The sequence below is a fragment of the Homo sapiens genome, chromosome 6, assembly GCF_000001405.40.
Source record: "Homo sapiens chromosome 6, GRCh38.p14 Primary Assembly".
Taxonomy (NCBI): domain Eukaryota; kingdom Metazoa; phylum Chordata; class Mammalia; order Primates; family Hominidae; genus Homo; species Homo sapiens.
In genome coordinates, this window is record NC_000006.12 from 31164337 (window position 1) to 31186877 (window position 22541).

At 49.8% G+C, this 22541-nt stretch overlaps 1 protein-coding gene and 1 long non-coding RNA gene across 17 annotated transcripts, besides 32 other annotated features; both read right to left on the reverse strand.

Annotated features, from left to right (window-relative positions):
• On the reverse strand, positions 1–6346 carry POU5F1 (POU class 5 homeobox 1). 4 transcript variants are annotated; one of them, NM_002701.6, is made up of 5 exons: positions 5880–6346; positions 1591–1711; positions 1235–1365; positions 792–950; positions 1–531 (listed from the first exon to the last, which is right to left on the reverse strand). In NM_002701.6, the coding sequence occupies exons 1-5, from the start codon at positions 6282–6284 to the stop codon at positions 265–267; spliced, it is 1083 nt and encodes a 360-aa protein (NP_002692.2). In that variant the 5' UTR covers positions 6285–6346; the 3' UTR covers positions 1–264. The 4 variants fall into 4 exon arrangements, with proteins under 4 accessions (NP_002692.2, NP_001167002.1, NP_976034.4 ...); NM_001173531.3 differs by lacking the exon at positions 5880–6346 and adding an exon at positions 2198–2834; NM_203289.6 differs by lacking the exon at positions 5880–6346 and having other exon boundaries at positions 1591–2834.
• Positions 206–787: an enhancer, noted in NCBI's record as "OCT4-H3K4me1 hESC enhancer chr6:31132319-31132900 (GRCh37/hg19 assembly coordinates)". NCBI's record gives its function as "activates a minimal SCP1, AML or CMV promoter by ChIP-STARR-seq in primed H9 embryonic stem cells {active_cell/tissue: H9 hESC(primed)}" and the evidence as "EXISTENCE:reporter gene assay evidence [ECO:0000049][PMID:30033119]".
• Positions 3420–4277: an enhancer, noted in NCBI's record as "OCT4-H3K27ac hESC enhancer chr6:31135533-31136390 (GRCh37/hg19 assembly coordinates)". NCBI's record gives its function as "activates a minimal SCP1, AML or CMV promoter by ChIP-STARR-seq in primed H9 embryonic stem cells {active_cell/tissue: H9 hESC(primed)}" and the evidence as "EXISTENCE:reporter gene assay evidence [ECO:0000049][PMID:30033119]".
• Positions 4278–5135: an enhancer, noted in NCBI's record as "OCT4-NANOG-H3K27ac hESC enhancer chr6:31136391-31137248 (GRCh37/hg19 assembly coordinates)". NCBI's record gives its function as "activates a minimal SCP1, AML or CMV promoter by ChIP-STARR-seq in primed H9 embryonic stem cells {active_cell/tissue: H9 hESC(primed)}" and the evidence as "EXISTENCE:reporter gene assay evidence [ECO:0000049][PMID:30033119]".
• Positions 5136–5993: an enhancer, noted in NCBI's record as "OCT4-NANOG-H3K27ac hESC enhancer chr6:31137249-31138106 (GRCh37/hg19 assembly coordinates)". NCBI's record gives its function as "activates a minimal SCP1, AML or CMV promoter by ChIP-STARR-seq in primed H9 embryonic stem cells {active_cell/tissue: H9 hESC(primed)}" and the evidence as "EXISTENCE:reporter gene assay evidence [ECO:0000049][PMID:30033119]".
• Positions 5994–6851: an enhancer, noted in NCBI's record as "OCT4-H3K27ac-H3K4me1 hESC enhancer chr6:31138107-31138964 (GRCh37/hg19 assembly coordinates)". NCBI's record gives its function as "activates a minimal SCP1, AML or CMV promoter by ChIP-STARR-seq in primed H9 embryonic stem cells {active_cell/tissue: H9 hESC(primed)}" and the evidence as "EXISTENCE:reporter gene assay evidence [ECO:0000049][PMID:30033119]".
• Positions 5994–9425: a biological region, named in NCBI's record as "POU5F1 5' regulatory region". NCBI's record gives its function as "regulatory_interactions: POU5F1".
• Positions 6284–6665: a promoter, noted in NCBI's record as "-380 promoter fragment used in the -380/-1-Luc reporter construct". NCBI's record gives its function as "drives POU5F1 transcription in NCCIT embryonal carcinoma cells {active_cell/tissue: NCCIT}" and the evidence as "EXISTENCE:reporter gene assay evidence [ECO:0000049][PMID:16149048]".
• Positions 6284–8887: a promoter, noted in NCBI's record as "-2601 promoter fragment used in the -2601/-1-Luc reporter construct". NCBI's record gives its function as "drives POU5F1 transcription in NCCIT embryonal carcinoma cells {active_cell/tissue: NCCIT}" and the evidence as "EXISTENCE:reporter gene assay evidence [ECO:0000049][PMID:16149048]".
• Positions 6285–6414: a conserved region, noted in NCBI's record as "conserved region; CR1". NCBI's record gives the evidence for it as "COORDINATES:sequence alignment evidence [ECO:0000200][PMID:11309664]".
• Positions 6309–6318: a GC rich promoter region, noted in NCBI's record as "GC-2 sequence mutated in the Mutant GC-2 and Mutant GC-1,-2 hOct4-380-Luc (D5) reporter constucts". NCBI's record gives its function as "important for POU5F1 promoter activity in NCCIT embryonal carcinoma cells {active_cell/tissue: NCCIT}" and the evidence as "EXISTENCE:site-directed mutagenesis evidence [ECO:0005528][PMID:16149048]".
• Positions 6370–6397: a protein binding site, noted in NCBI's record as "1st SF-1 site". NCBI's record gives its function as "positive regulation of POU5F1 promoter activity" and the evidence as "EXISTENCE:protein binding evidence [ECO:0000024][PMID:17226773]".
• Positions 6390–6409: a protein binding site, noted in NCBI's record as "GC-1 probe". NCBI's record gives its function as "binds Sp1 and positively regulates POU5F1 promoter activity in NCCIT embryonal carcinoma cells {active_cell/tissue: NCCIT}" and the evidence as "EXISTENCE:protein binding evidence [ECO:0000024][PMID:16149048]".
• Positions 6390–6409: a protein binding site, noted in NCBI's record as "GC-1 probe". NCBI's record gives its function as "binds Sp3 and may negatively regulate POU5F1 promoter activity in NCCIT embryonal carcinoma cells {active_cell/tissue: NCCIT}" and the evidence as "EXISTENCE:protein binding evidence [ECO:0000024][PMID:16149048]".
• Positions 6394–6403: a GC rich promoter region, noted in NCBI's record as "GC-1 sequence mutated in the Mutant GC-1 and Mutant GC-1,-2 hOct4-380-Luc (D5) reporter constucts". NCBI's record gives its function as "important for POU5F1 promoter activity in NCCIT embryonal carcinoma cells {active_cell/tissue: NCCIT}" and the evidence as "EXISTENCE:site-directed mutagenesis evidence [ECO:0005528][PMID:16149048]".
• Positions 6558–6568: a protein binding site, noted in NCBI's record as "ARID3B RE3". NCBI's record gives its function as "positive regulation of POU5F1 promoter activity" and the evidence as "EXISTENCE:protein binding evidence [ECO:0000024][PMID:25858147]".
• Positions 6819–6848: a protein binding site, noted in NCBI's record as "AHRE1". NCBI's record gives the evidence for it as "EXISTENCE:protein binding evidence [ECO:0000024][PMID:26059097]".
• Positions 6852–7709: an enhancer, noted in NCBI's record as "OCT4-NANOG-H3K27ac-H3K4me1 hESC enhancer chr6:31138965-31139822 (GRCh37/hg19 assembly coordinates)". NCBI's record gives its function as "activates a minimal SCP1, AML or CMV promoter by ChIP-STARR-seq in naive and primed H9 embryonic stem cells {active_cell/tissue: H9 hESC(naive and primed)}" and the evidence as "EXISTENCE:reporter gene assay evidence [ECO:0000049][PMID:30033119]".
• Positions 7597–7795: an enhancer, noted in NCBI's record as "CR2". NCBI's record gives the evidence for it as "EXISTENCE:reporter gene assay evidence [ECO:0000049][PMID:17226773]".
• Positions 7600–7795: a conserved region, noted in NCBI's record as "conserved region; CR2". NCBI's record gives the evidence for it as "COORDINATES:sequence alignment evidence [ECO:0000200][PMID:11309664]".
• Positions 7652–7681: a protein binding site, noted in NCBI's record as "2nd SF-1 site". NCBI's record gives its function as "positive regulation of POU5F1 transcription" and the evidence as "EXISTENCE:protein binding evidence [ECO:0000024][PMID:17226773]".
• Positions 7710–8567: an enhancer, noted in NCBI's record as "OCT4-NANOG-H3K27ac-H3K4me1 hESC enhancer chr6:31139823-31140680 (GRCh37/hg19 assembly coordinates)". NCBI's record gives its function as "activates a minimal SCP1, AML or CMV promoter by ChIP-STARR-seq in naive and primed H9 embryonic stem cells {active_cell/tissue: H9 hESC(naive and primed)}" and the evidence as "EXISTENCE:reporter gene assay evidence [ECO:0000049][PMID:30033119]".
• Positions 7713–7742: a protein binding site, noted in NCBI's record as "3rd SF-1 site". NCBI's record gives its function as "positive regulation of POU5F1 transcription" and the evidence as "EXISTENCE:protein binding evidence [ECO:0000024][PMID:17226773]".
• Positions 7756–7774: a protein binding site, noted in NCBI's record as "CR2 EBS (ETS binding site)". NCBI's record gives its function as "negative regulation of POU5F1 transcription" and the evidence as "EXISTENCE:protein binding evidence [ECO:0000024][PMID:24971534]".
• Positions 8137–8241: a conserved region, noted in NCBI's record as "conserved region; CR3". NCBI's record gives the evidence for it as "COORDINATES:sequence alignment evidence [ECO:0000200][PMID:11309664]".
• Positions 8568–9425: an enhancer, noted in NCBI's record as "OCT4-NANOG-H3K27ac-H3K4me1 hESC enhancer chr6:31140681-31141538 (GRCh37/hg19 assembly coordinates)". NCBI's record gives its function as "activates a minimal SCP1, AML or CMV promoter by ChIP-STARR-seq in primed H9 embryonic stem cells {active_cell/tissue: H9 hESC(primed)}" and the evidence as "EXISTENCE:reporter gene assay evidence [ECO:0000049][PMID:30033119]".
• Positions 8711–8842: a conserved region, noted in NCBI's record as "conserved region; CR4". NCBI's record gives the evidence for it as "COORDINATES:sequence alignment evidence [ECO:0000200][PMID:11309664]".
• On the reverse strand, positions 9399–21981 carry PSORS1C3 (psoriasis susceptibility 1 candidate 3). Of its 13 annotated transcripts, NR_152834.1 has the most exons (7): positions 21690–21981; positions 13303–13563; positions 11353–11619; positions 10305–10490; positions 10190–10220; positions 9902–9934; positions 9399–9697 (listed from the first exon to the last, which is right to left on the reverse strand). It is a non-coding gene; the product is annotated as a psoriasis susceptibility 1 candidate 3 (long non-coding RNA). The 13 variants fall into 13 exon arrangements; NR_152837.1 differs by lacking the exon at positions 11353–11619 and having other exon boundaries at positions 10305–10343; NR_152833.1 differs by lacking the exon at positions 11353–11619.
• Positions 10375–11271: an enhancer, noted in NCBI's record as "OCT4-H3K27ac-H3K4me1 hESC enhancer chr6:31142488-31143384 (GRCh37/hg19 assembly coordinates)". NCBI's record gives its function as "activates a minimal SCP1, AML or CMV promoter by ChIP-STARR-seq in primed H9 embryonic stem cells {active_cell/tissue: H9 hESC(primed)}" and the evidence as "EXISTENCE:reporter gene assay evidence [ECO:0000049][PMID:30033119]".
• Positions 13515–14109: an enhancer, noted in NCBI's record as "OCT4 hESC enhancer chr6:31145628-31146222 (GRCh37/hg19 assembly coordinates)". NCBI's record gives its function as "activates a minimal SCP1, AML or CMV promoter by ChIP-STARR-seq in primed H9 embryonic stem cells {active_cell/tissue: H9 hESC(primed)}" and the evidence as "EXISTENCE:reporter gene assay evidence [ECO:0000049][PMID:30033119]".
• Positions 14642–15143: an enhancer, noted in NCBI's record as "OCT4 hESC enhancer chr6:31146755-31147256 (GRCh37/hg19 assembly coordinates)". NCBI's record gives its function as "activates a minimal SCP1, AML or CMV promoter by ChIP-STARR-seq in primed H9 embryonic stem cells {active_cell/tissue: H9 hESC(primed)}" and the evidence as "EXISTENCE:reporter gene assay evidence [ECO:0000049][PMID:30033119]".
• Positions 16250–16793: an enhancer, noted in NCBI's record as "H3K27ac-H3K4me1 hESC enhancer chr6:31148363-31148906 (GRCh37/hg19 assembly coordinates)". NCBI's record gives its function as "activates a minimal SCP1, AML or CMV promoter by ChIP-STARR-seq in naive H9 embryonic stem cells {active_cell/tissue: H9 hESC(naive)}" and the evidence as "EXISTENCE:reporter gene assay evidence [ECO:0000049][PMID:30033119]".
• Positions 21314–21903: an enhancer, noted in NCBI's record as "OCT4-H3K27ac-H3K4me1 hESC enhancer chr6:31153427-31154016 (GRCh37/hg19 assembly coordinates)". NCBI's record gives its function as "activates a minimal SCP1, AML or CMV promoter by ChIP-STARR-seq in primed H9 embryonic stem cells {active_cell/tissue: H9 hESC(primed)}" and the evidence as "EXISTENCE:reporter gene assay evidence [ECO:0000049][PMID:30033119]".
• Positions 21904–22491: an enhancer, noted in NCBI's record as "OCT4-H3K27ac-H3K4me1 hESC enhancer chr6:31154017-31154604 (GRCh37/hg19 assembly coordinates)". NCBI's record gives its function as "activates a minimal SCP1, AML or CMV promoter by ChIP-STARR-seq in primed H9 embryonic stem cells {active_cell/tissue: H9 hESC(primed)}" and the evidence as "EXISTENCE:reporter gene assay evidence [ECO:0000049][PMID:30033119]".

Here is a 22541-nt window from a genome sequence, read left to right on the forward strand (position 1 = left end):
TAAGTGTGTCTATCTACTGTGTCCCAGGCTTCTTTATTTAAGAAAAAAGTGATACATGATGTGGGATTAAAATCAAGAGCATCATTGAACTTCACCTTCCCTCCAACCAGTTGCCCCAAACTCCCCTGCCCCCACCCTTTGTGTTCCCAATTCCTTCCTTAGTGAATGAAGAACTTAATCCCAAAAACCCTGGCACAAACTCCAGGTTTTCTTTCCCTAGCTCCTCCCCTCCCCCTGTCCCCCATTCCTAGAAGGGCAGGCACCTCAGTTTGAATGCATGGGAGAGCCCAGAGTGGTGACGGAGACAGGGGGAAAGGCTTCCCCCTCAGGGAAAGGGACCGAGGAGTACAGTGCAGTGAAGTGAGGGCTCCCATAGCCTGGGGTACCAAAATGGGGCCCTGGGGCCAGAGGAAAGGACACTGGTCCCCCTGAGAAAGGAGACCCAGCAGCCTCAAAATCCTCTCGTTGTGCATAGTCGCTGCTTGATCGCTTGCCCTTCTGGCGCCGGTTACAGAACCACACTCGGACCACCTGCAAGTGAATGACAGAAAGGAGAATGACATTAGACAATGAGCTGAGACGGGCCTGACTCTGCTTGGACATTCTATCCAAAGCCAACAGCCCTAGAGCAGTTAGAGGAGGACATTAGAGAATGAGCTGAGACAGGCCTGACTGCTTGGACATTCTGTCCAAAGCCAACAGCCCTAGAGCAGTTGGAGGAGCCAGAGCTAGGGAAAGCGAGGTGGTGACAGGGGAAAGAGATGGAGCCCGCAGAGAGACATGGCACTCACATCCTTCTCGAGCCCAAGCTGCTGGGCGATGTGGCTGATCTGCTGCAGTGTGGGTTTCGGGCACTGCAGGAACAAATTCTCCAGGTTGCCTCTCACTCGGTTCTCGATACTGGTTCGCTTTCTCTTTCGGGCCTGCACGAGGGTTTCTGCTTTGCATATCTGTGCAGGTGGGAAGGGGGTGACAAGGGCAAGCTTTGGACTTGCTGAGTAACAGCATCACAGGGGTCTGTGACTAGATGTGTCAGCAGAGCCAGGTGGTGGTGTGAAAAGGCAGGATCCTGGAAGGGTTGGCTCTGGACCTTATCCCAGCAGAACTGAGGAATTTCACTCCATCCCACTGAGAACCACTGCACCAAAGACGGAGAGCTACGAGCCAGTGATGGAAGCAATGGAAATTAGGCCAAGAAAGGGAAGGTCCCCGGGTATCCCCCTCCCACCCTTACCTCCTGAAGATTTTCATTGTTGTCAGCTTCCTCCACCCACTTCTGCAGCAAGGGCCGCAGCTTACACATGTTCTTGAAGCTAAGCTGCAGAGCCTCAAAGCGGCAGATGGTCGTTTGGCTGAATACCTTCCCTGGGGGAGGCCAGTCAAAAGAGAAGCAAAGTGAGGGAGCACGCAGGGCCCTTGTGACCCTGAGATCCAAGCTTACCACCTCTTCCCAGAGGGAGCTCAAAGCATCTTCTCCCTCTCCCTACTCCTCTTCATGGGTGAGGGTAGTCTGCCCCTGCCCCTCCCCACTAGGTTCAGGGATACTCCTTAGAGGGGAGATGCGGTCAGAATCTGCAGAGGGGAACCCACCAAATAGAACCCCCAGGGTGAGCCCCACATCGGCCTGTGTATATCCCAGGGTGATCCTCTTCTGCTTCAGGAGCTTGGCAAATTGCTCGAGTTCTTTCTGCAGAGCTTTGATGTCCTGGGACTGGATTTTAAAAGGCAGAAGACTTGTAAGAACATAAACACACCAGTTATCAATCTCCCCTTTCCATTCGGGATTCAAGAACCTACGTGTGGCCCCAAGGAATAGTCTGTAGAAGTGCCTCTGCCTTCCAAGCTGCCCACCTAACTTCTAGAAATAACCTACCCACAAATGTCATTCACCCATTCCCTGTTCACTGACTCATGCATGTAACAAAGGACTACTCTTCCCCCAGAAACTGGCACATCCAAGGGATGCAGAGCATCGTGAAAGGACAGAAAGAGAGACCCTGGCCTCGAGAACACCTGTCAGGTTATGAAGGTTAGAAGTTCTTTGCTGGGCGCGGTGGCTCACGCCTATAATTCCAGCACTTTGGGAGGCCGAGGTGGGCAGATCACGAGGTCAGGAGTTCAAGACCAGCATGGCCAACATGGTGAAACCCCGTCTCTACTAAAAACACAAAAATTAGCTGGGCACGGTGGCACGCACCTGTAATCCCAGCTACTCAGGAGGCTGAGGCAGGAGAATCACTTGAACCCGGGAGGCGGAGGTTGCAGTGAGCTGAGATCACGCCACTGCACTCCAGCCTGGGTGACAGAGCAAGACTCTGTCTCAAAGAAAAAAAAAAAAGAAGATAGTTCATTTAATACCTGCAAAATTCTCTCACTCAAGTATCACCCCCAGTTTAAGGATGTTTTGAGATTAGAGAAATAGATAAGCTGCTAAGTTCTGGGTTAATTAAAAAGGAAGAGCATCATGTCTCAGAAGCTAAATTCAGTATATACTCTCCCCAGCTTGCTTTGAGGGTCCCACAAACTATAACATGGCATGCATACACACAAACACAGCAAAAAAGTAACAGGTGTCATAAGAATGGATAAAGTGCTTTGTGTGTACTTACTCATTTTTTAAATTGATTATCCCTCATCTTTACTGTATCTTTTTCACTATAGAGGCATCCTAATTGATTTTTAAATTCAAGAGATTTATCGAGCACCTTCTATAAGCCAGCGGCTATACAAAGTGGACAAAGAGCCCTGACATCCAGCATGACAGAAGTGCTATTTGGCACTTGTTCTTCAAGTTGCCCACTTGGATCTCTTCCAAGTGCACTTTCCTTTTTTCCCTGCCCTATAACTTTTTAATAATAAACTTCCACTCCTGCTCTGAAAAATAAAAAAGTAAATAAAATAAAAAATGGCCAGGCACAGTGGCTCATGTCTGTAAATCCTAGCACTTTGGGAGGCCAAGGTGGGCAGACTGCTTGAGCCCAAGAGTTAGAAAGCAGCCTGGGTAACATAGTGAGACCCGTGCCGCCCCTTCTCCCACCCCTGCTGCCTCTATTTAAAATATATATATATATTATGGAAAAAAGTAAAGCAGTCTGGGCGCAGTGGTCATGCCTGTAATCCCTTCACTTTGGGAGGCCAAGGTGGGTAGATCACTTGAGGTCAGGAGTTCAAGACTAGCCTGGTCAACATAGTGAGACTCTGTCTCTACTAAAAATACAAAAATTAGCTGGGCATCATGGCGCTCCCCTATAATCCCAGCTACTCAGGAGGCTGAGGCAGGAGAATTGCTTGAACCTAGGAGGTGGAGTTTGCAGTGAGCCAAGATCGCACCACTGCACTCCAGCCTGAGGGACAGAGTGAGACTCCATCTCAAAAATTAAAAAAAAAATAAAGCAGTCTATAGGAGTAGGGTAAAGGAGGGAAGGAGATTATGGAGGAGGGTGACACTTTTAAAGACAGAGAAGGTGATTGTTTGAGCAAAGGACAAGAGTCTAATGTGGCAAGGCCCTGAAGTGGGCCTTCCAGAGCCCAAAGCTGGTCTGGTGGCTAGGTAGATCCTGTTGCAGACATAGTGACTTTGTTTTAGTCCAAGCGAAATGATCTCTCACCCTTTTTCTCCCCACCAAGACGGAATCTCGTTCTATCGCCCAGGCTGGAGTGCTGTGGCGTGATCTTGGCTCACTGCAATCTCCGCCTTCTGGGTTCAAGCTATTCTGCCTCAGCCGCCTGAGTAGCTGGGACTACAGGCACCCACCACCATGCCCGGCTAATTTTTGTATTTTTAGTAGATATGGGGTTTCACCATGTTGGCCAGGCTGGTCAGGAGACCTCAAGTGATCTGTCCACCTTGGCCTCCCAAAGTGCTGGGATTACAGGTGTGAACCACCGCACCTAGCCTCACCTTTTTTTTTTTTTTTTTTGAGAGTTTCGCTTTTGTTGCCTAGGCTGGAGTGCACTGGCGCGATCTCGGCTCACCGCAACCTCCATCTCCCAGGTTCAAGCGATTCTCCTGCCTCAGCTTCCTGAGTAGCTGAGATTACAGGCATGCGTCACCACGCCCAGCTAATTTTGTATTTTTAGTAGAGATGGGGTTTCGCCATGTTGGTCAGGCTGGACTCGAACTCCCGACCTCAGGTGATTCGCCTGCCTCGGCCTCCCAAAGTGCCTGGCCACACCTTTTAAAACACTGACTCTAGTTGACGTGTTGGCCACAGACAGTAGGGAGGAAGCAGTATAATTTGAGAAGCTACTGCGGTAATCCCAGCAGAGATGATGGTGGCTGAGGCCAGGGTTAGGTTGTGATTGATTCAGGATGTTTCTTAAGGATAGGATGTAGGACATGAAAGAAACTGAGGATGACTGGGTTTGGCCTTGAGCAACTGGGTGATCAGGGTGGAGCAGTTCAGGGAGCCATCACAAGAGACAGAAAACGCGGTAGTCATCTGGTGTCTAAATGGCATTTAAGCCTTGAGGGTGGGTGAGAGGAAGGAAGGGTAGATAGAGCAGAGGTTGAAGGACTGAGCCCTGGGGCATGCCATATGAGGCTGCCGGCAGACAGAGGTGCACAGCTAGTGAGAAAAAAACAAGGCCTTTTTGTAGTTCTGAAGCCTCAAGGAAGTGTTTCAATGGTGCTTGATCATATCAATTTCAAATAGGCTGTTTTCATCCCCAACTTCTGCTCAGCCAATAACTCAAACTGATAAATGCCCTCTGCTATCTTGGATTTTCCAAATTCTGTTTTGGGGTTTTGGAATAAACACTGGTCCAAATCCTCGCTTCATCATTTAGCAGTTAAAACCCGTTAAATAGGATAATAATACCTCCCCCTAGGAGATTTTGTGCTGGTTAATGAGATAATGATGTATAAACGGAGCACACAGCCAGGCACTTAGGAAGTGGACCACAATTGCCAGCCATTATCATTCAAGGCTCAGCAGTGACCTCCTGCGAAGAGGTTGGGGCTTCTCGGTCACTCCAGAAACCAGTCACACCTTTCTGTGAGGTCTCAAGGCTTAGTATTTAATCTCTAATTGCTTACACTTGTCGCCTTGAAGGACTGGAAGATACATCTTTAATAGTCCTCAGCAGGGCTGGATGCCTTCAATCCCGCAGCAGCTCTATATTTGCAAATGGCCTGGAGAAATCTCTCACCATTTTTCTTGTTTACAACTTTGGAACTGAGGCTGAAGTCAATCAAAATCCAGCTTTCTACAAGGGGTGCCAGGGTGTGCACCTTAACACAGTGGCCAGTCATTGGCCTGAGGCAGAGATCCGGGGAAGACAAGCCCTATACTTGACTGGAGGTAAACCCAGCTCACAACGCGCACACACACAGCCCAAACAGGAGATCCTATCAGAAACGAGTCACACCCTAGACTTTCAGGAACAATAATCCTGGAATGAGCACTGTTTTTACCCTCAGGCTATGCTTAACCCTAAGGCCAAAATCTTGGGTCTGATAAGGGTCAAATTTTCAAGCAGGACTAAGGGTGGGAAAAGGGGCTCAAACCAACCCCAAGCTGGGTCTGGTGCTGGGCCAGTAATGAGTGACCAGACCCTGGGCAGGCCTAGGAGATGTGAGAGACCCTGACAAGGGCTGGGCCAGAGCAAAGGCCAGCCTGGGCCAGCTTCCGACTCTCCCAGGCTGCTCTGCCCTCACCGGCAGTTGTCTCTTCGAAATCCAGCTTCCACTTCCCACCTGGCCCCTGCCTGCCAGGGCTGCCAGCAGTTGATACACACCCCTCCCTGGCCAGGGCAGCTGACCCTGCCTGCTCCTCTCCTGGGTGCCAGGTCTGGGCAGCTGCAGGTGACCACTTCCCCATCAGGCTGCCCTGTCATGACCACCTCCCCACACCCCAACCCCGTCGAAGCTCACTTGCCTCCTCCGGGTTTTGCTCCAGCTTCTCCTTCTCCAGCTTCACGGCACCAGGGGTGACGGTGCAGGGCTCCGGGGAGGCCCCATCGGAGTTGCTCTCCACCCCGACTCCTGCTTCGCCCTCAGGCTGAGAGGTCTCCAAGCCGCCTTGGGGCACTAGCCCCACTCCAACCTGGGGCCCACAGTACGCCATCCCCCCACAGAACTCATACGGCGGGGGGCATGGGGGAATCCCCCACACCTCAGAGCCTGGCCCAACCCCCGGCCCGATTCCTGGCCCTCCAGGAGGGCCTTGGAAGCTTAGCCAGGTCCGAGGATCAACCCAGCCCGGCTCCGGCCCCCCTGGCCCATCACCTCCACCACCTGGAGGGGGCGAGAAGGCGAAATCCGAAGCCAGGTGTCCCGCCATGGGGAAGGAAGGCGCCCCAAGCCGGGGGCCTGGTGAAATGAGGGCTTGCGAAGGGACTACTCAACCCCTCTCTCCCTCCCCAGTCCCACCCACTAGCCTTGACCTCTGGCCCCGCCCCCTGGATGGGTGGAGGAGAGGGAGGTGGGGGGAGAAACTGAGGCGAAGGATGTTTGCCTAATGGTGGTGGCAATGGTGTCTGTGGAAGGGGAAAACCGGGAGACACAACTGGCGCCCCTCCAGGACCTCAGTGCAGGTCCCCCACAGAAACTTTTTTTATTTTTATTTTTTAAGACAGGGTCTCACTTTGTTGCCCAGACTGGAGTGCAGTGGAGTACAATGATGGCTCAATGTAGCCTCGATCTACTGGGCCAAAGCAATCCTTCTGCTCCAGCCTCCTAAGTGGCTGGGACTACAGGCTTGGACCACTGTGCCCTGTTAGTTTTTTTATTTTTAGTAGAGATGGGGCCTTGCTATGTTACCCAGGCTGGTCTTGAATTCCTGTCCTCAAGAAATCCTCCCGCCTCTGCCGCCCAGTGTCATGATTAAAGGCGTGAGCCACCACACCCAACTTTCAACTCCCAACCCGCTCCCTGGCACTCTCTCAGGCTCTGCACATCCCAGCTGTCTGGAATCACTCCCACACCTCCATGTTCTTCAGGAACCCAGGTGCTTGACCCCCTCTCCACAGACCTCTGGCACTGTGCCTTCAGGGGCCAGTCACCCTCTCAGCTCCTCAAATTTATTGAATGTGTGTGTGGCGCTATCCCTCAATGCATCAACAGCCATAAGCACAATGGCCAGCTGCTCCCTTATGCCTTCCCCCGATCCATCCAGAATCCTAGGCATTCCCATCCCGATACTGGCCAAATCCAGCCACCCCGCAGCCTGGGTGCCTGGCACCATCTGCCCAGCCTGCCAAATTTCACCCCATCTTCAAGAGTAGACTGCCAGACAAGGCCTCCGTGCTATATCCCCCCACCCCCCCATCCCCCCACCCCTCCGTCTTCCAGAATCAGACTCCAGACTCTCCTCATCTAACAGACTAAGGGGTTGGTCCCTACTTCCCCTTCAAGGGACCAGACTTTGGACTGACTGGGCCTCAGTTTCCCAACCTTTGCTGAAACAGAGTGATAAGACACCCGCTTTGGGCCCCCTCCACTATGGAACCTGCACATCAGGTTCCTTGCTCCCCTCTCAACCAAAACTCAGACATCTAATACCACGGTAGGCCCCGTTCTCCCTCCCCCACCTCCCTGGCCCAGGCCTCCAGCCCTAGGCCCTGGGTGGGGAAAACCAGGGGGTGGGGGGTGTGGAGAAAAAATATCTGACTTCAGGTTCAAAGAAGCCTGGGAGGGACTGGGGGAAGGGGGCAGGACAATGGCCTTGGCTGGACAATCCCGGTCCCCAGAGGGGGCAGCTCTAACCCTAAACAAGTGCTCAACCCTTGAATGGGCCTGGATGGCTCCCCTGGGGACTGCTTCCTGCTCCCCAACCCCCCAGTCCCAATCCCCTCACACAGAATCCCCTTCAGAGACGCTAAAAGGAGCTCCAGCAACCCCCCTCTGCAATCCCCTCAAAGACTGAGCCTCAGACGGGCACCAAGGGCCCCCCACAGGGACCTAGGTATCTAGTTCCTCCTTCCTCTGGGGGACTCAGGCGTCCAGCTTCATCGTGCGTCCCTCCCCGAGCCTGGCAGATTGAGGGATGTGCTTTGTTTAGTGGGGCTGGCTGGCAGAAAGACGCAGAGGAGGTGGAGAGTGATTTGTGGAGGCGTGCAGGAAGGCTGCCCTAAGCTCCCCTTCAGGGTCTGTTTTTCTGGGCCTGGCCTGAGTATCCTGAGGCTCATGCTGCTGGTCTAGTGCTTGATTCTGTTTGCAAGAGAATAGCCAACGGAATGCCTGTCTGTGAGGGATGATGTTTGTCTGTCTGCTCCCAAAACTTGATCTCAGTGGAGGGCCTGGGGTAAGTCTGGGGGCTCCAGAGGGGGCTCTGGGCCAGGGCTCCCCACAGCTTCGAAGGCCAGAAGGCCAGGTCTGGACTGGGCACGCTGACCTCTGTCGACTTAAGTAAGGCTTCTCATTGCAGGCTCCAGGCTCAGCCCTGCCTGGGCTTGTCTGCTGGGGTCAGTGGCTCTATCTGCCTTCTAAGGGGATGGGTGTCCCGTGGCCAGCTGTCTTCATCTTGGTGGCATCCGTGAGTCTTTTGAGACTTTTCCCCCACTCTTATGTTGCCTCTGTTCGTGTGCCCATCTCCTGTCTGTGTAGACTTTTTGAGCCTAATTGTATGCGTGCATTTCAATACCTGCCACAGGTCTGCCGGAAGGTCTACAAGGCAGTGGGGTTGCAGCTGTGTTCACTTCTCGGCCTTTAACTGCCCAAAAGGCAGGTAGATTATGGGGCCTGGTGGGGGTGGGAGGAACATGCTTCGGAACAGGAGGAGGCCCCTCCCCAGCCATCTCAATCCCCAGGACAGAACCATCACGGCACCTTTGTCATGCATCTCTCTGCTGTCTGCCAAGAAGACGGCCTCTCAGAGGAGGGGGAGGGGCAGGCCTGGGATTTGGCTGGAATCTCCACACCAGTGTTTCTCAGCTTGCCATCCTCCAGGTTCCCCAAAAGCGCTCTTCCCAAGCCAGTCCAGAGAGTCCCTGCTGCCCATTTTCCTAGTGGCTCCTAAAACACCTTCCCCAATTTCCCCACTCAACACCACCCTCTTGTTTTTAGATTATAATTTGTACTGTAGGTGGTGTATTTCTGGCCTGGGCAAGAGGCCCATTCCCGAGAGGGACGCAGACAAGGGGTGGGTGCCTGGATCCCTGGCTGCCTTGTGGCTGGATATGAGCCCAGTCAGGGGTCAGCCTCCTGCATGCCTAGACTCCTAGCCGGCCCCCTTCTGGGGTGCTCAGGGCTGATGGGAGGTTGAGGCAGGCTTTCCTTCCTTCTCACTGTCCTGTTATGCCTGAAGGGTAGGTGGCTTCACTTCAGCCAAGGCCAGCTCTCCCAGGCCCCAACCAGTGCTGGGGGCCACCGTTGGGCCTGGAGGAGACTGGAAGCCAGGCTGAGTCATCAGAACTGGTCCCATGATTCCCTGGGTTTTAGAAAGTCACCATAAAAAGATACTTCACACACACCTTTATTATTACAGTGCAATGTCAAGACCCTTCACAGAGCACTGCCAGGGGACCCAGGTGAGGCCCACCTCTCCCCACCAGGTGAGGCGGCTGGCATGGCTGGGTGGGGAGAGGTGAGATGAGCAGCCTTGCTGCTCTCAGCCCAGCCTTCCCTTCCCCTCACTGGGAGATGAGGTGCTGTTTGGTTGAAAAACCAGCTGAAAAAACTCAGTTGGGACCAATAGAGACTTGCTCTCGACCCGGTCTAGGAAACCACTTATTTTGACTTCCGAGGCCTGTCAATCTGAAGGCAAAAGAAAGGGAAGAAACGGAGGGCTGAGGGTTCAGGCTTGGCCCACCTTGGGAGATGATCTCCCTTAATAGCAATTTAGACAAATTCCTTTGCTCACTGTGGACCAAGTCCCCTCTTCTCAACAAAGGACCCTCTGATCTCCCCCATGAGCCCTGCAAACTGAGGTCACCTTATCCCAAATCCAGACACTCTTACCTCAAATAGAGGAGTCAACTCTCTAGCTGTAGCCTGTAGGGAGTCAGAGGTGAGAGCAAAAGGAGTGGGTGAGCTGGGAGGATTGGTCAGGAACAAACTAGGAGGCATGGACCAGGTTCTAAGTCCTGGCTCTGACTCCCTGGCTAATGGCACCTCCCCCTCCTGTGCCTCAGTTTCCTCACCTAGTAAAGAGGATTTGGACTCAATGAACTCTAAACTTCCTTCCAACTCAGACATAAAATTGCTGCCCCGCTCTCATATGCCCTCCCATCTACCCACCCCCCTTACTTGACATGGGAATGTAGACTTCTCTGCACACCTGTGAAGAGAAATGGGGGTAGGAAAGCTGGGAGTGGTGTTCAATGAGAAGTTGGCATAGGCCTCCCTGTACCCTGCCACCTACCTCCAAGCATCCTTCCTGGGGAATCTGGCAGGTTTTCCCCTGAAGTTTGATCAAGAGATATAGGAGGAGGCCGGGAGCGGTGGCTCATGCCTATAATCCCAGCACTTTAGGAGGCTGAGGCGGGCGGATCACTTCAGATCAGCAGTTCGAGACCAGCCTGGCCAACATGGTGAAACCCTGTCTCTACTAAAAATACCAAAAGGTGGTTTTTTTGTTTGTTTGTTTTGTTTTTTTTGCATGTGGTGGTGCATGCCTGTAATCCCAGCTACTCAGGAGGCTGAGAAACAAAAATCGCTTGAACTCAGGCAGCAGAGGGTGCAGTGAGCTGAGATCGAGCCACTGCACTCGGCAACTGCATTGCTACATGCCTCCAAACCCCAGCTGCTCATCTGAGGTTGCACAGAGACTCAGCATCAGCCTGGTGCATCACCAGACAGGAGAGCCTATGCTCACGTCAAAGGGATCACAGCAGACTGCTGGCTCTGGGCATCTGAGCAGCGCCATGCAAGGGGGCAAGTGGCTTAGGGTTCCAGGGACTCAGGGGCTGGGGCAGCCCATCCCTCAGCTAAGTTAGCTGGACACTGGAGGATAGAAGTCAAGGGCCTAGCATGTTGGGATGGCTCCTCTCCAGGGGCTTTGCAGAGAGTCCCATGCACCAAGGGGGCTAGCGGGACAGGGAAAAGTGGTGGCAAAGACCTCCCAGACAAACTGGCTGCCTCTGGTCCTATCAAGCTGCCGTACATCCTCCACACCAGGGCTTTAGGCACCATTCCACTGTGTTCCATGGTGACTGTAGGTGATGCCCCACCTTGAGAGCCCTTGGGTGCTCAGCCCTGGGTCAGAACTTGAACACCAAGTGGGAAAAGGGCTGACCAAGCACGGGAGAGGGAAGGAAAGCAGAGTGGCTAGGACGGTCAGCAACAGAGCTGTGTTCATTTAGGACATGGGTATTGAAATGGAGTTTTGAAGGCTGGCTGAGGGGCCTGCACTCCATCCCTCCCACAGTGCCCTCAGCTCCTCCACCTTCCCCACATGAACCAGTCCGCACCTATCACACCTACGGTGGGCCGTGGTCCCACCCCAGCTTTCAGGTGTTTCCGGAGAGGGTAGACGCAGCTCTAGGTCAGGAAGGATTGTTTCCTTCCCTTCTCTCCTTCTGCAGCTATGCTTGGTTCTGGCTGGCTTTTGCTGGAGTTGAAAGACTCAAGTGTGCTAAGAAGGGAGTCCTGGCCATCACAGTTGTAGTGCCAGTGTCCCCAGCTGCTCCGGTTCCCCAGCAACTCACAGACAACCGTGGTCTGGAGGGTGTGTGACTCTGAAAAGCCAAAACCCCAGAACTCCAAAGTTACAAGAGGTCAAAACAGTGGCTCTCTCCACCTCCGCTCCTACCTCCTCCCAAAATGCATGAAATTCCCTTCCTCTGACTGATAAACCCTCACTCATTCTCCAAGACATATCTTCTCTGTCAACCACATCCCCACCAAAGTCACACTGCACCCGCTCTCCCTCCCCTGCAGCATGTGGCTCCCTCCCATGTACCCAGCATGCACTGTTCAGCCACATATACTCACCCACCCTCCTGAAGGCCCAGCACAGACAGCATTGTGTTTAAATCCCTGATCTACACATCAGCTACTGGCTATATGCCCACGGCAAATGTAATGGAACCTCTCCAAGCCTTGCTTTCCTCATTTGGCAACTGGACACAATTATAGTCTCTACCACACAAGTAAAGATAACATGAGATAATCCTTGCCAGTGTTAATGTAGGACCTACCAAGAAGAATTCAAGAACTAGTAGCTGCTATTGTAAGGTGTATTATTGGTAACAGCAAAATGAACAGCACTTACTAGGCTTAAATGTTTGCTAGATGAAAAAAAATGATATTGGTTAGAAATATATTTTGCTCAGGTCACCAGGTTTCTTATTAACTACTGGTGGTGGCGAGAGAGGTGAATGTCAGAAAAAGGCCAGTTTTTCCCATTTCCTGGATTTGAGAAAGTTGGATAAATTTTTTTCACCTGGCCGGGTGCGGTGGCTCACGCCTGTAATCCTAGCACTTTGGGAGGCCCAGGCAGGTGGATCACGAGGTCAGGAGTTTGAGACCAGCCTGGCCAACATGGTGAAACCCCATCTCTACTAAAAATATAAAAATTAGCCAGGTGTGGTGGCAGGCGCCTGTAATCCCAGCTACTCAGGAGGCTGAGGCAGGGGAATCGCTTGAACCTGGGAGGCGGAGTTTGCAGTGGGCTGAGATCGGGCCATTGCACTCCAGCTTGGGCAACAAGAGCAAAAAAAAAACAGACTTTTTTCACCTGAAGGGAAGGCTTGGGAGCTTAAGGACAATGGCTTCTTTCTTAGAGACCTAGTCCTTGACTGAGGGAAAGGGTGAGGGTCTTATACTTCTTTTTTTTTTTTTTTTATTGAGACAGAGTCTTGCTCTGTCACCCAGGCTGGAGTGCAGTGGCACGATCTCGGCTCACTGCAAGCTCCACCTCCCGGGTTCATGCCATTCTCCTGCCTCAGCCTCCCGAGTAGCTGGGACTACAGGTGCCTGCCAGCGCACCCGGCTAATTTTTTTTGTATTTTTAGTAGAGACAGGGTTTCACTGTGTTAGCTAGGATGGTCTCGATCTCCTGACCTTGTGATCCACCTGCCTCGGCCTCCCAAACTGCTGGGATTACAGGCATGAGCCACCGCGCCCAGCCAGAGGGTCTTATACTTCTGTCCTACTCTTGCTAATACCTAAGACCCAGTCCTTTTGGCACCACTGGGTACATAAAACAAGGTTTGAGTCAGGGATGAACTCCCCCAGGCAGGAGGAGATAGCATCAGGATCTCAGTGAAGTGGGATGGTATCTGAGTGCCTAGCACAGTGCCCCACGCAGAGCTCAATGCATCTTAGCTGAACAATAACGAATGCAGCTGCACATCTTCAGGCCCATATTGAGCTCTTCTCTCTTTTCTGCCTCCTCCTGAGCCCCCAAGCCCAATCACCTTGGCTCTGGTTGTTGTGTGCCATGATGCTCCCCGGGATGGTGACAAGGTGCTGGGCTCTGGCCTTCAGTCTGAGAACCAGCTTCTCCCAAGCTCTTGGGTCCCTGGCCTGAGCCCAGGATGCACGGGGCTCTGCCCACCTGCCCTCCTTGCAGCATCATAAGAAAGGGTGGTCATCCAGGTAGCCTGAGACTTCGTAAGGGGCTTGCCCAGGGCTGGGCTGGGAAAGAGTAATGAAGTCATAGCACAGAGAGTGGGTTGCTGAGGAAAAGAGAATGATGGGAAAGGGTTATTTTCCAACAGGAGTCTTACCTGGGAGACACTGCACAAGGTGCCTGTGTGGTGAGGCTGTGTGACTATTTTTGAGGGCACCAAAGGAGTGGGTAAGGGGAATGCAGACTGAACAATGGGAAGGGAATCTCTTGTTTCCCTGCAGGGCCTCATCTAGGCTCATTGTTTTAAATAGTAATGACTCCCAAATCTCTTCATCCCTGTTCTTCACATCGGTATATCCAACTACCTACCTGTTGGTCATCTGGACCTAAGGTTCCATATGGCCTTAAATCTGACACATCCAAAACTGAGTATTTCCTCTTGGCCCTGGCCATGGAACAACCTGCCTCTCATCCTATATTCCTGGTGAGTGGCATCATCCTCTCACCTGCCTGCTTACTCAAGCCAGAACTGGGTTGAGGTGTGGGCAACTACCGGATGTCATGTAGCCTCCTGGCACAATAGCATGAAGTGAGCTGAGAGGTCATGGAACAAAAAGGCTCACAGACCAAATGTAAATGCTCAAATAACATCGTTTATTAAATAAATGTAAAACACATTCTGAGAAGCAGGAGGCAGGTGCTGGGGTGGGTCAACACACGGGAGAGGGGGCAAGTTGGGTGGAATGATCACACCAGCTGAACTGTGGGTCATGCAGTGTGCATCCATCCTGTCAAATTGAAACCTCCTGCATCCTGAGTGCCTCATGTCTCACGTATTTAGGGTACCGTGAATATTTAGTGCCTCCTTGGTCTTTCTGTCCCTTTTGATCTCTGTACACACGAATATGTTGTACTATCTACAGATGACTAATTTAGTTATCTATGTGTAACACTTCTTTTGAGTTTATTGTTTTCCTGTCTTCTACAGCAGAATTGGATATTCCCAAACAATCGGCAAGTCTGGTGTTTATCCTAGAGTGCTGCCTCCCTTCACACCCCCTAGTTTCAAACAGTCAGCAAGCCCTGCCCATTTTTAACTTCCTGTTTCTCCAATCTGGACATTCCTCTACCTCCACCAAACCAGCCCATAGTATGGCTTGCTTGGATTATAGCCAGAGTCTTTCTAACTGGTCTCTCTCCCTCCAGTCTTAAGCATATAAAATCTGTCCTCCTTGATATAATCAGAGTGATCTATCCAGAAATACATATCAGACCGCATACCTCTCTGCTCTTCCTCTAAGGATTCCCCTTTTGTCCTCGGGATGGTTTCCAAGCTCCTTAGCAAGCTAAACAAGGCCCCTTGAAGGCTGCCGTCTCCACCCTCATCTCCCACCACACCCTGCCTTCACCTGACCCACTTGGAACAGGAAGGTTGGAGCACCTCCATACTCCTGCAGTTCCACCTCCCAGTGCCTTCCTGAGATGGTCCCCTGAAGGGAAGACCCATCCTCCCCTTCTCCAAACACCACTTAAACCACTTAAACCCTTTCATTAAACCCTTACCCTGGCCTCAAACCATCTACCACGCTGCTGTACCCCTTTATTTCAGAGACGGCTCTGACTTTCACTCAGAGGTGACACTCACCCTACCACTTGTCTATGGCTGTGCATCCCTCTTGGGGCCATCTCTTGTGGACAAGAATATGAGCCACATTCTTCATATATGAGAAAATTACACCAATCTCAGAGGATTAGAGGTCATGCCAAAAAACACACCTGGTAGTTATGTTTAAATATATTTTTAAGGCTGGGTTAAAAACCACGATGAGGCGAAACCCCATCTCTACTAAAAAAATACAAAAATTAGCTGGGCCTGGTGGTGCACGCCTGTAATCCCAGCTACTCGGGAGGCTGAGACAGGAGAATCCCTAGAACCCAGGAGGCGGAGGTTGTAGTGAGCCGAGATTGCACCACTGCACTCCAGCCTGGGCGACTGAGTGATTCTCCGTCTCCAAATATATATATACACACACACACATATACGTATATATATGTGTATATACGTATATATATATATATTTTTTTAACAAACATAGCTGCTATCATTGGCTCCTTTTCTCTTTTTTTTCGAGACGGTCTCACTCTGTCACCCACATTGAAGTGCAGTGGCACAATCATGAGGCCCACCCCAACCTCTGCCTCCCAGGCTCAAGCGATCCTCCCACCTCAGCCTCCAGAGTAACTGGGACTACAGGCGTGCACCACCACGCCTGGCTAATGTTTTTGTATTTTCTGTATTGACAGGTTTTCCTCATGTTCCCTGGGCTGGTCTCAAACTCCTGTGTCCAAGCAATCCTCCGCCCAGCTCGGCCTCCCAAAGTCCTGGGATTACAGGCATAAGGACCTCCTACGGCCAAGTTTAAGCTTCAAGTGGGAGACATGGGACAATTACTTACCAGATACAACCAGTTTCAGAGGAAGCCCTACCTACCCTCTAAGCCTGACCTTATCTTGCAACCTCCATCGCCCCAGACCTCCCCCGGCTCCAAAAAGCACTCCCAAGAGGCCTCATAAAGGCCACAGTTTGGGGAAGGTTATGGCTCAGGGGAAGGGGAGAGGTGCTAAATAATTAAGCCCCCCTACTACTCAGCACCCGCGTGAGGCATCGTCAGGCATCGTCAGGCCTCCAGTGGTGGTGGTGGCACCGGGCCTCAACCTCCCCGGAGGGCTGGACTCTCGCTGCCAGGCTGTGGGGATCAGGCGTTGTGGGGGAGGGGGACACTTAACAGGTATGGAGGGCGGAGCAGAGCCCCGCAGTCACTGGCCTGACTTCCGGAACGAACCGTCGCCAGCAAGCACAGCAGTAGGACCAGGGGGATGCAAGAGCGGGGGCGGCCGGGGATCGTGCTTCTCGCTCAGGTCCAGATTCCCGGCAACCAGGCCGGCGGAATCACGTGCCATGCTCCAGGCCAGCGTAGTCCCGCCCATCTTCCAGCTGAGCGTACCGGGAGGCTCCCATTGGACTGGAGCTGCTACGGAGGCGGGACTTTCCCTTTTTCTTGAACCCCATTGGGTTAAGTCCAGTCCGAGACAAGCGTCTCTCCTCAGCAGTGGGAGGGGTGATTTGGCTCATCCATACTTAGGAATTTGGGGTTTGAGGCCGGGTGCGGTGGCTCACGCCTGTAATCCCAGCACTTTGGGGGGCCGAGGCGGGCGGATCACAAGGTCAGGAGATCGAGACCATCCTGGCTAACACTATGAAACCCCGTCTCTACTAAAAAAATACAAAAAAATTAGCCGGGTGTGGTGGCGGGCACCTGTAGTCCCAGCTACTCGGGAGGCTGAGGCAGGAGAATGGCGTGAACGCTGGAGGCAGAGCTTGCAGTGAGCAGAGATCGCGCCACTGCACTCCAGCCTGGGCGACAGAGCAAGACTCCGTCCCCCCAAAAAAATAATTTGGGGTTTGAGACCCGGCGCGGTGGCTCACGCCTGTAATCCCAGCATAATCCCAGCACTTTGTGGGGGGCCGAAGCGGGCGGATCACCTGAGGTCAGGAGTTGGAGACCAGCCTGGCCAACATAGCGAAACCCTGGCGCGCACTTGTAAACCCAGCTTCTCGGGAGACTGAGGAAGGAGAATCGCTTGAATCCGGGAGGCGGAGGTTGCAGTGAGCCGATATAGCTAGCGCCACTGCACTCCAGCCTGGGCGACAGAGTGAGACTCCGTCTCAAAAAAAGAGAGAGAATTTGAGGTTTAAGTTGTCTCTCCTTGGTCGCTGTGCAGTCGAGTGTTTTTATGTTCAGACCTCTTCCTGCCCATTTTATTTATTTAATTTATTATTTATTTATTTATTTATATTTTTTGATATGGAGTTTCACTCTTGTTGCACAGGCTGGAGTGCAATGGCGCGATCTCGGCTCACTACAACCTCCGCCTCCCAGGTTCAAGCGATTCTCCTGACTCAGCCTCCCTAGTAGCTGGGATTACAGGTGCCTGCCACCATACCCCACTAATTTTTTGTATTTTTAGTAGAGATGGGGTGTGTGTATACATATATATATATATATATATATAGCAAGTAGTCAAGAGCTAGTCTATTTTGATAGATAGCATTTCTCATCAGAGTCTCTTGCCGGGCAAGAACAGTCAAGGTTTGACGGGTTTTATTAGTAATAATTTCTAAACAGCTTGCAACCATATGATTCGGTTGAGCATGTAGATGGGGGTTCGATATCCTCATGAGCCATCTTGTGTCTAAGTGGCAGGCCTATAGTATTATATAATTTTTTTAGGAGGTCATTTATCATCTTTCCAATTACCTATGGCTATGCTTCGTTTTTCGCAGGAAGCATAGACTGGGAAGCCCAGAAGTTTACCTGTTTTTATGGGCAGTAAGAAGAAAGATGGCTTAATGGTGCCAATTACACAGCTACCTGTCCACTGATCAGGGAGCTTAGCATAAGCTCTGCGTATAACCCGGTGGGGGCTGTCCAGTCCCGGTGGAGTTCTGGGTGGGCCCAAACAGTCTGCAACTTTGGAAATTTACTGAATGGATTTCTTTCTGTGTAATTGGAACTCCACCATGTAACTTTTTGTGGTACCATTATACAGTTTTTGCCCAAGACAACTAAGCCGCCAAACAGGATCTTTTTTATCTTCTTTTTAAGTAGCCCAAATGACACAAGACCAGTATTGACACATCTCACATAAATACAATTCTTGACAGATACACTTATTTTTTTTTTACTGTGTCACTTTTTTTTTCCAATTTAGAGAACCGCATCCTATTCCATGCTGCTTACTATCAATAGCGGCACAAGCACCAAATTTTAAGGTTACATTTTTGGGGGCCCCTCTTTTTTCCATTCTAGCTATTACCTTACTTGTGTCACCTAGAAAAGGACCAGTCCTTAATTTTATTTTAAAAACTGTGATCACGGGAGGCTTAAAATGGGTCATAACACACATCAGGTTGGTTATTCCCTGGGCTACATACCTTGGATAGCATTATACAAACAAGTTTCTTTTAGAGTCCTGGTACACTTATGATAACCATAAAATAATAGGACTGTAGCAATTTTTGTCCTACCTCAGTGACTTGATGTATATACTGGAAACAGTTCTCAATCTGAGGAAGGTCAGTTGAAGTCCTTACTGTACAAGTCCAAATTTTAAGGAAAATGAGTCCCGCAATGAGTTTCCTCATGCTTCGCCTGTGCGTGGACCAGTCAGCTTCTGGGTGTGACTGGAGCAGGGCTTGTCTCCTTCTTCAGAGTCACTTTGCAGGGGTTGGCAAAGCCGCTCCCATCCACGTACAGCTCCCAGTCTACTGATGTTTAAGGGTGGTCTCGGAGGTTAGGCCTACTAGAATAAACTGAGTCCAGCACCTCTAAACAGTTATGTTTAACTGGGCTCTCTGTTACCAGGAGTAAGGTGGCTGGGTTAGGGTGTTGGAAACTTCAATGGTTTTGTGGGGATTTTCACAGAGCAAGGTTTGGTATCTAGTTAGTCTAGCATTTATTAGCTAATGATGTCCTTTGGTATTTATTAAAGTCACCACAGCATGGGGAGACTTTCTGTTTAGGTTTTGCCTAAGAGTTAGCTCATCTGCTTCTTGTGCTAACAGGGCAGTTGCTGCCAGGGCCCTTGGACATGGGGGCCAGCCTTTGGAAACCCCGTCTAGTTGTTTTGAGAGATAGGCCCCTGGCCTTGACCAGGGCCCTACAGTCTGGGTTAAAACTCCAACTGTCATTTTTTCTCTTTCTGACACACAGAGTGTAAAGAGTTTTGTCAGGTCAGGTAGCCTCAGGGCTGGGGCCGACATGAGTTTTTCTTTTTAACTAATGAAAAGCTCTTTGCTGTTGGTTGTAATAGATGTAGTTTATCTAATCTACATTTTTGTTGACTGTCATCTACTAAAATATTGACTTAAATCCTGTAACTATTTGATTTCAAGCTTTAAATTGATCTGGTATTCCTTGTGGGGCTCCAATTGCATTTAAGTAGATGTGAGAATTGAAAGACCTATAAGGGGCTTCTCTCGTTTTATGATGTCTTACTTTTTTTTTCCTCTGGTTGATGAAATGCCAGGGTGAAAGGGATAGCCAAATGGACTAAAGCACAAGTGCCACTCTAGTTATTCAGCAGAGTGCCCAGTAAAGGTCCACCCCGATACCACCACACATCCTCTCGGGGATGAACAAGGGCTGACTGATTGATAAGCTCTTGGAAACTCTTAAGCTCACTGCATCCCTTCAGGTCTCCAAGGAATGCTAAATCTCCTCCCTGCCGTGAGAGACAAGAAGTGAACTTAGTGTTGGGAGATGGAAGCTGGATGGCCCTCGGGGGCTGACCCACAGAGACTTCGGGATATAGCAGAGAGAGCTTGGCATGACTTATTACTCCAGGCTGTAGAATCCTGGAAAAGAGCTACCATGCAGCCCACACCTGGTCGACTGGAGGACCACCTTAGTGGAAGAGGGACAATCAGGGCCTCTGGCCTGCCATGTGCACAAGCATAACAATTGATTTTGTTTAACGTGCAGATGGAATATTTAATCCATTCCAACCAGGCATTTGCATCTTGGTATGCTGTCTTAACTGCCAAAGTTTGTTTTAAGTCTTTAACTTCTATGATCCTCTAGTAAAATGAATGTTTCCTTTAGCATCTATTTTTATTAGTTTTTAGACCAAAGAAAGCTAAACACCATTTTATATTTAATAATGCTTCTTGTATGATTTTTATACCAGGTAAGCTAAATTTTACCTTTATATTAGTGTGTTATTAATGTTAAACTTAATTTTAATAAAACTTTGTAGACATATTTATCCAATTTTTCATGTTTGACCATAAGGTAAGGTTTTATAGACTCTTTTTAACCTTTTATAATTTTTGTTAAAGAGCAGGTTGATGCTTTAAGAAAAACCTGTCACATTTTTACTTTAATGTCCAGTTCACAGAAAAACTGGATGATACCTTTTTAACTTTAGCTAATATGTTTACACACAGAATTTTCTTTACAATTAACATTTTAAAATTTGCTTACACTTTCAAAACAATAATTTTTTTAACCTTTTAATGTAGGTAAAAATCCACATTCTTATGCCTCCTTATAATCTTTTTACCAAAGGTATATTTTACTTTTCTTATACACCTTGCACATAAACTGTTTTTTTTTTTAAATAGTACTCAGGAGGCCTTATTACTTTTAAATTACACAATATTTTTTGCATAAATTTTTTTATAACATTTTTTCTTTCACGACTTTCGCCGACAATTCTTCAACATGTCTCAACTTTCTGACTTATTACAAACATTTTTTTTTCTTTAAACAACCAGTTAATTTATTTCAGGACAAGAATTTACCATATAACACTCTTTTTACATAAATTCTGCCTCCCCCGCTTTTTTTTTTTAAAGTGAACTTTTTTTTTGTCTTTGGACTAGACTGTCTAAGGCCACAAGATTAGAAGTTACCATAATACATGTTATACTGTTAATTTTTAGCAAACTTCACTTTTGTTGAAAACCTTGTAAGTTTGGGATTTCAATTATCCTTTGCTATTAATAAGACCTTGTTTAGTCTAAATTAACTTAGAATTGGTATAGATGGCCTTTTTTTCTCTCTGCTGGTCTTTCCTTGCCTCTGCCAGATGCTTATGCTACTGTTCTCTTAACTACTGTAGGGGGAAGGGGGTCTAAAACCAGCTGTAACTGTCTATGTACAGAAACTGGTCTGGATGCCTTGGCTTACAGGTTACTTTGTGTCATACCTTTGAAACAAGGGACCTGTCCAGGCTTCCTTCTGATGGCCAACCCACCTCTAATGCTGGCCAGTCTATTTCACAAGTTCTAAGTTTTCCTGGTGTCACAGTAACATCGTAATCTCCCTTAAATTCTTTCTTGAAAAAAAATTTTTTTTAACATAGTTCCTAGTGGGGTGGGCTTATTTGTGCCTGACCCATGCTTCTTCGAGACAAAACACCACGCTCACACCACACGTGCACTACAAAACAAAAAAACAGGGCACACACACTTTTGCAGTTTACACCAAACCAAAATCAGAGTATCCAAAAACCCAAGCCAGGTCAAAACCAAAACCAAAACCAAAGTATCACACAATCTAAGTCAAGTCAAAACCAGAATAAAAGTGCCAGTACAGGCACACCATGGGTGATCAGGCCATGCTTCCACTCAGATGGAGTGGGGCAAGTTCCAAAGACTAGTCTTACCAAGTTTCAGATGTCCGGACTCCAAGTGCCAGTTCCTTCCCAGTGTTCAGCCAGTGTGTTAATCCTCCTCGGGGGCCTGCTACGTGCTGCTCTGGCGAGGCGTTCCACCCGGGGAATTTCCTACCCGGGAGCGCTCTTTGGATCGCGTCACTCAGGCTGGCCAGAGTCCACCGCAGGGATGCTCCACAGGGCAGGCCTAAGCCACCCAAGGGGCTGCCTTGGCCGTCCGTCAGTTACCTCGCTTCCTGTTCAGGGAACCAAGAAATGTAGCAGGACGAGCCCCAGACAAAACCTTTCAGACACCGAGTTGTAGAAGGAAGGGCTTTATTCAGCTGCGAGCATCGGCAAGCTACTGCCTTAAAATCCAAACTCCCTGAATGCACAATTTCTGTCCCTTTTAAGGTCTCACAACACTAAAGATTTCACATGAAAGTGTCGTGATTGATTTGAGTACGCAGGTGGTACGTGACAGGGGCTGCATGCACTGGTGGTCAGAGAGAAACAGAACAGGGCAGGGAGTGTCACAATGTTCTTCTATACAATGTCTGGAATCTAGGAATAACATCGCGTTCTAAGTCATGGGTTGATTTTTAACTACTGGGTTTAGGCCAGGCAGGCCCAGGCCTGGTTTCGGGCCTGGCGCCAGGCTGCCTGTCTTTGGTTTTACTTCCTTGTTTTTTCTTAAAACAGGTACTGAGTATAAAGCAATATAAAACAATACGAAAGGGTCTCTCTCTTCCCTCAAAGGGAATAGGCTGCTGTGGAGAAAGGTAAATAAATGGTGGAAAGAATTACATGGGGGATTAACTAATCTGTATACCAAATCCCCATGACAGGCAATTTACTTCTATA

What these genes read in the sequence shown, in the direction of transcription:
- POU5F1 (NM_002701.6), bottom strand. Translation starts at nt 6,284, where the DNA reads ATGGCGGGACACCTGGCTTCGGATTTCGCCTTCTCGCCCCCTCCAGGT. An exon ending in CACCCTGGGGGTTCTATTTG is followed by an intron (nt 1,366 to 1,590) that starts GTGGGTTCCCCT and finishes GGCCTCCCCCAG; the next exon opens with GGAAGGTATTCAGCCAAACG. An exon ending in AGCTTGGGCTCGAGAAGGAT is followed by an intron (nt 532 to 791) that starts GTGAGTGCCATG and finishes ATTCACTTGCAG; the next exon opens with GTGGTCCGAGTGTGGTTCTG.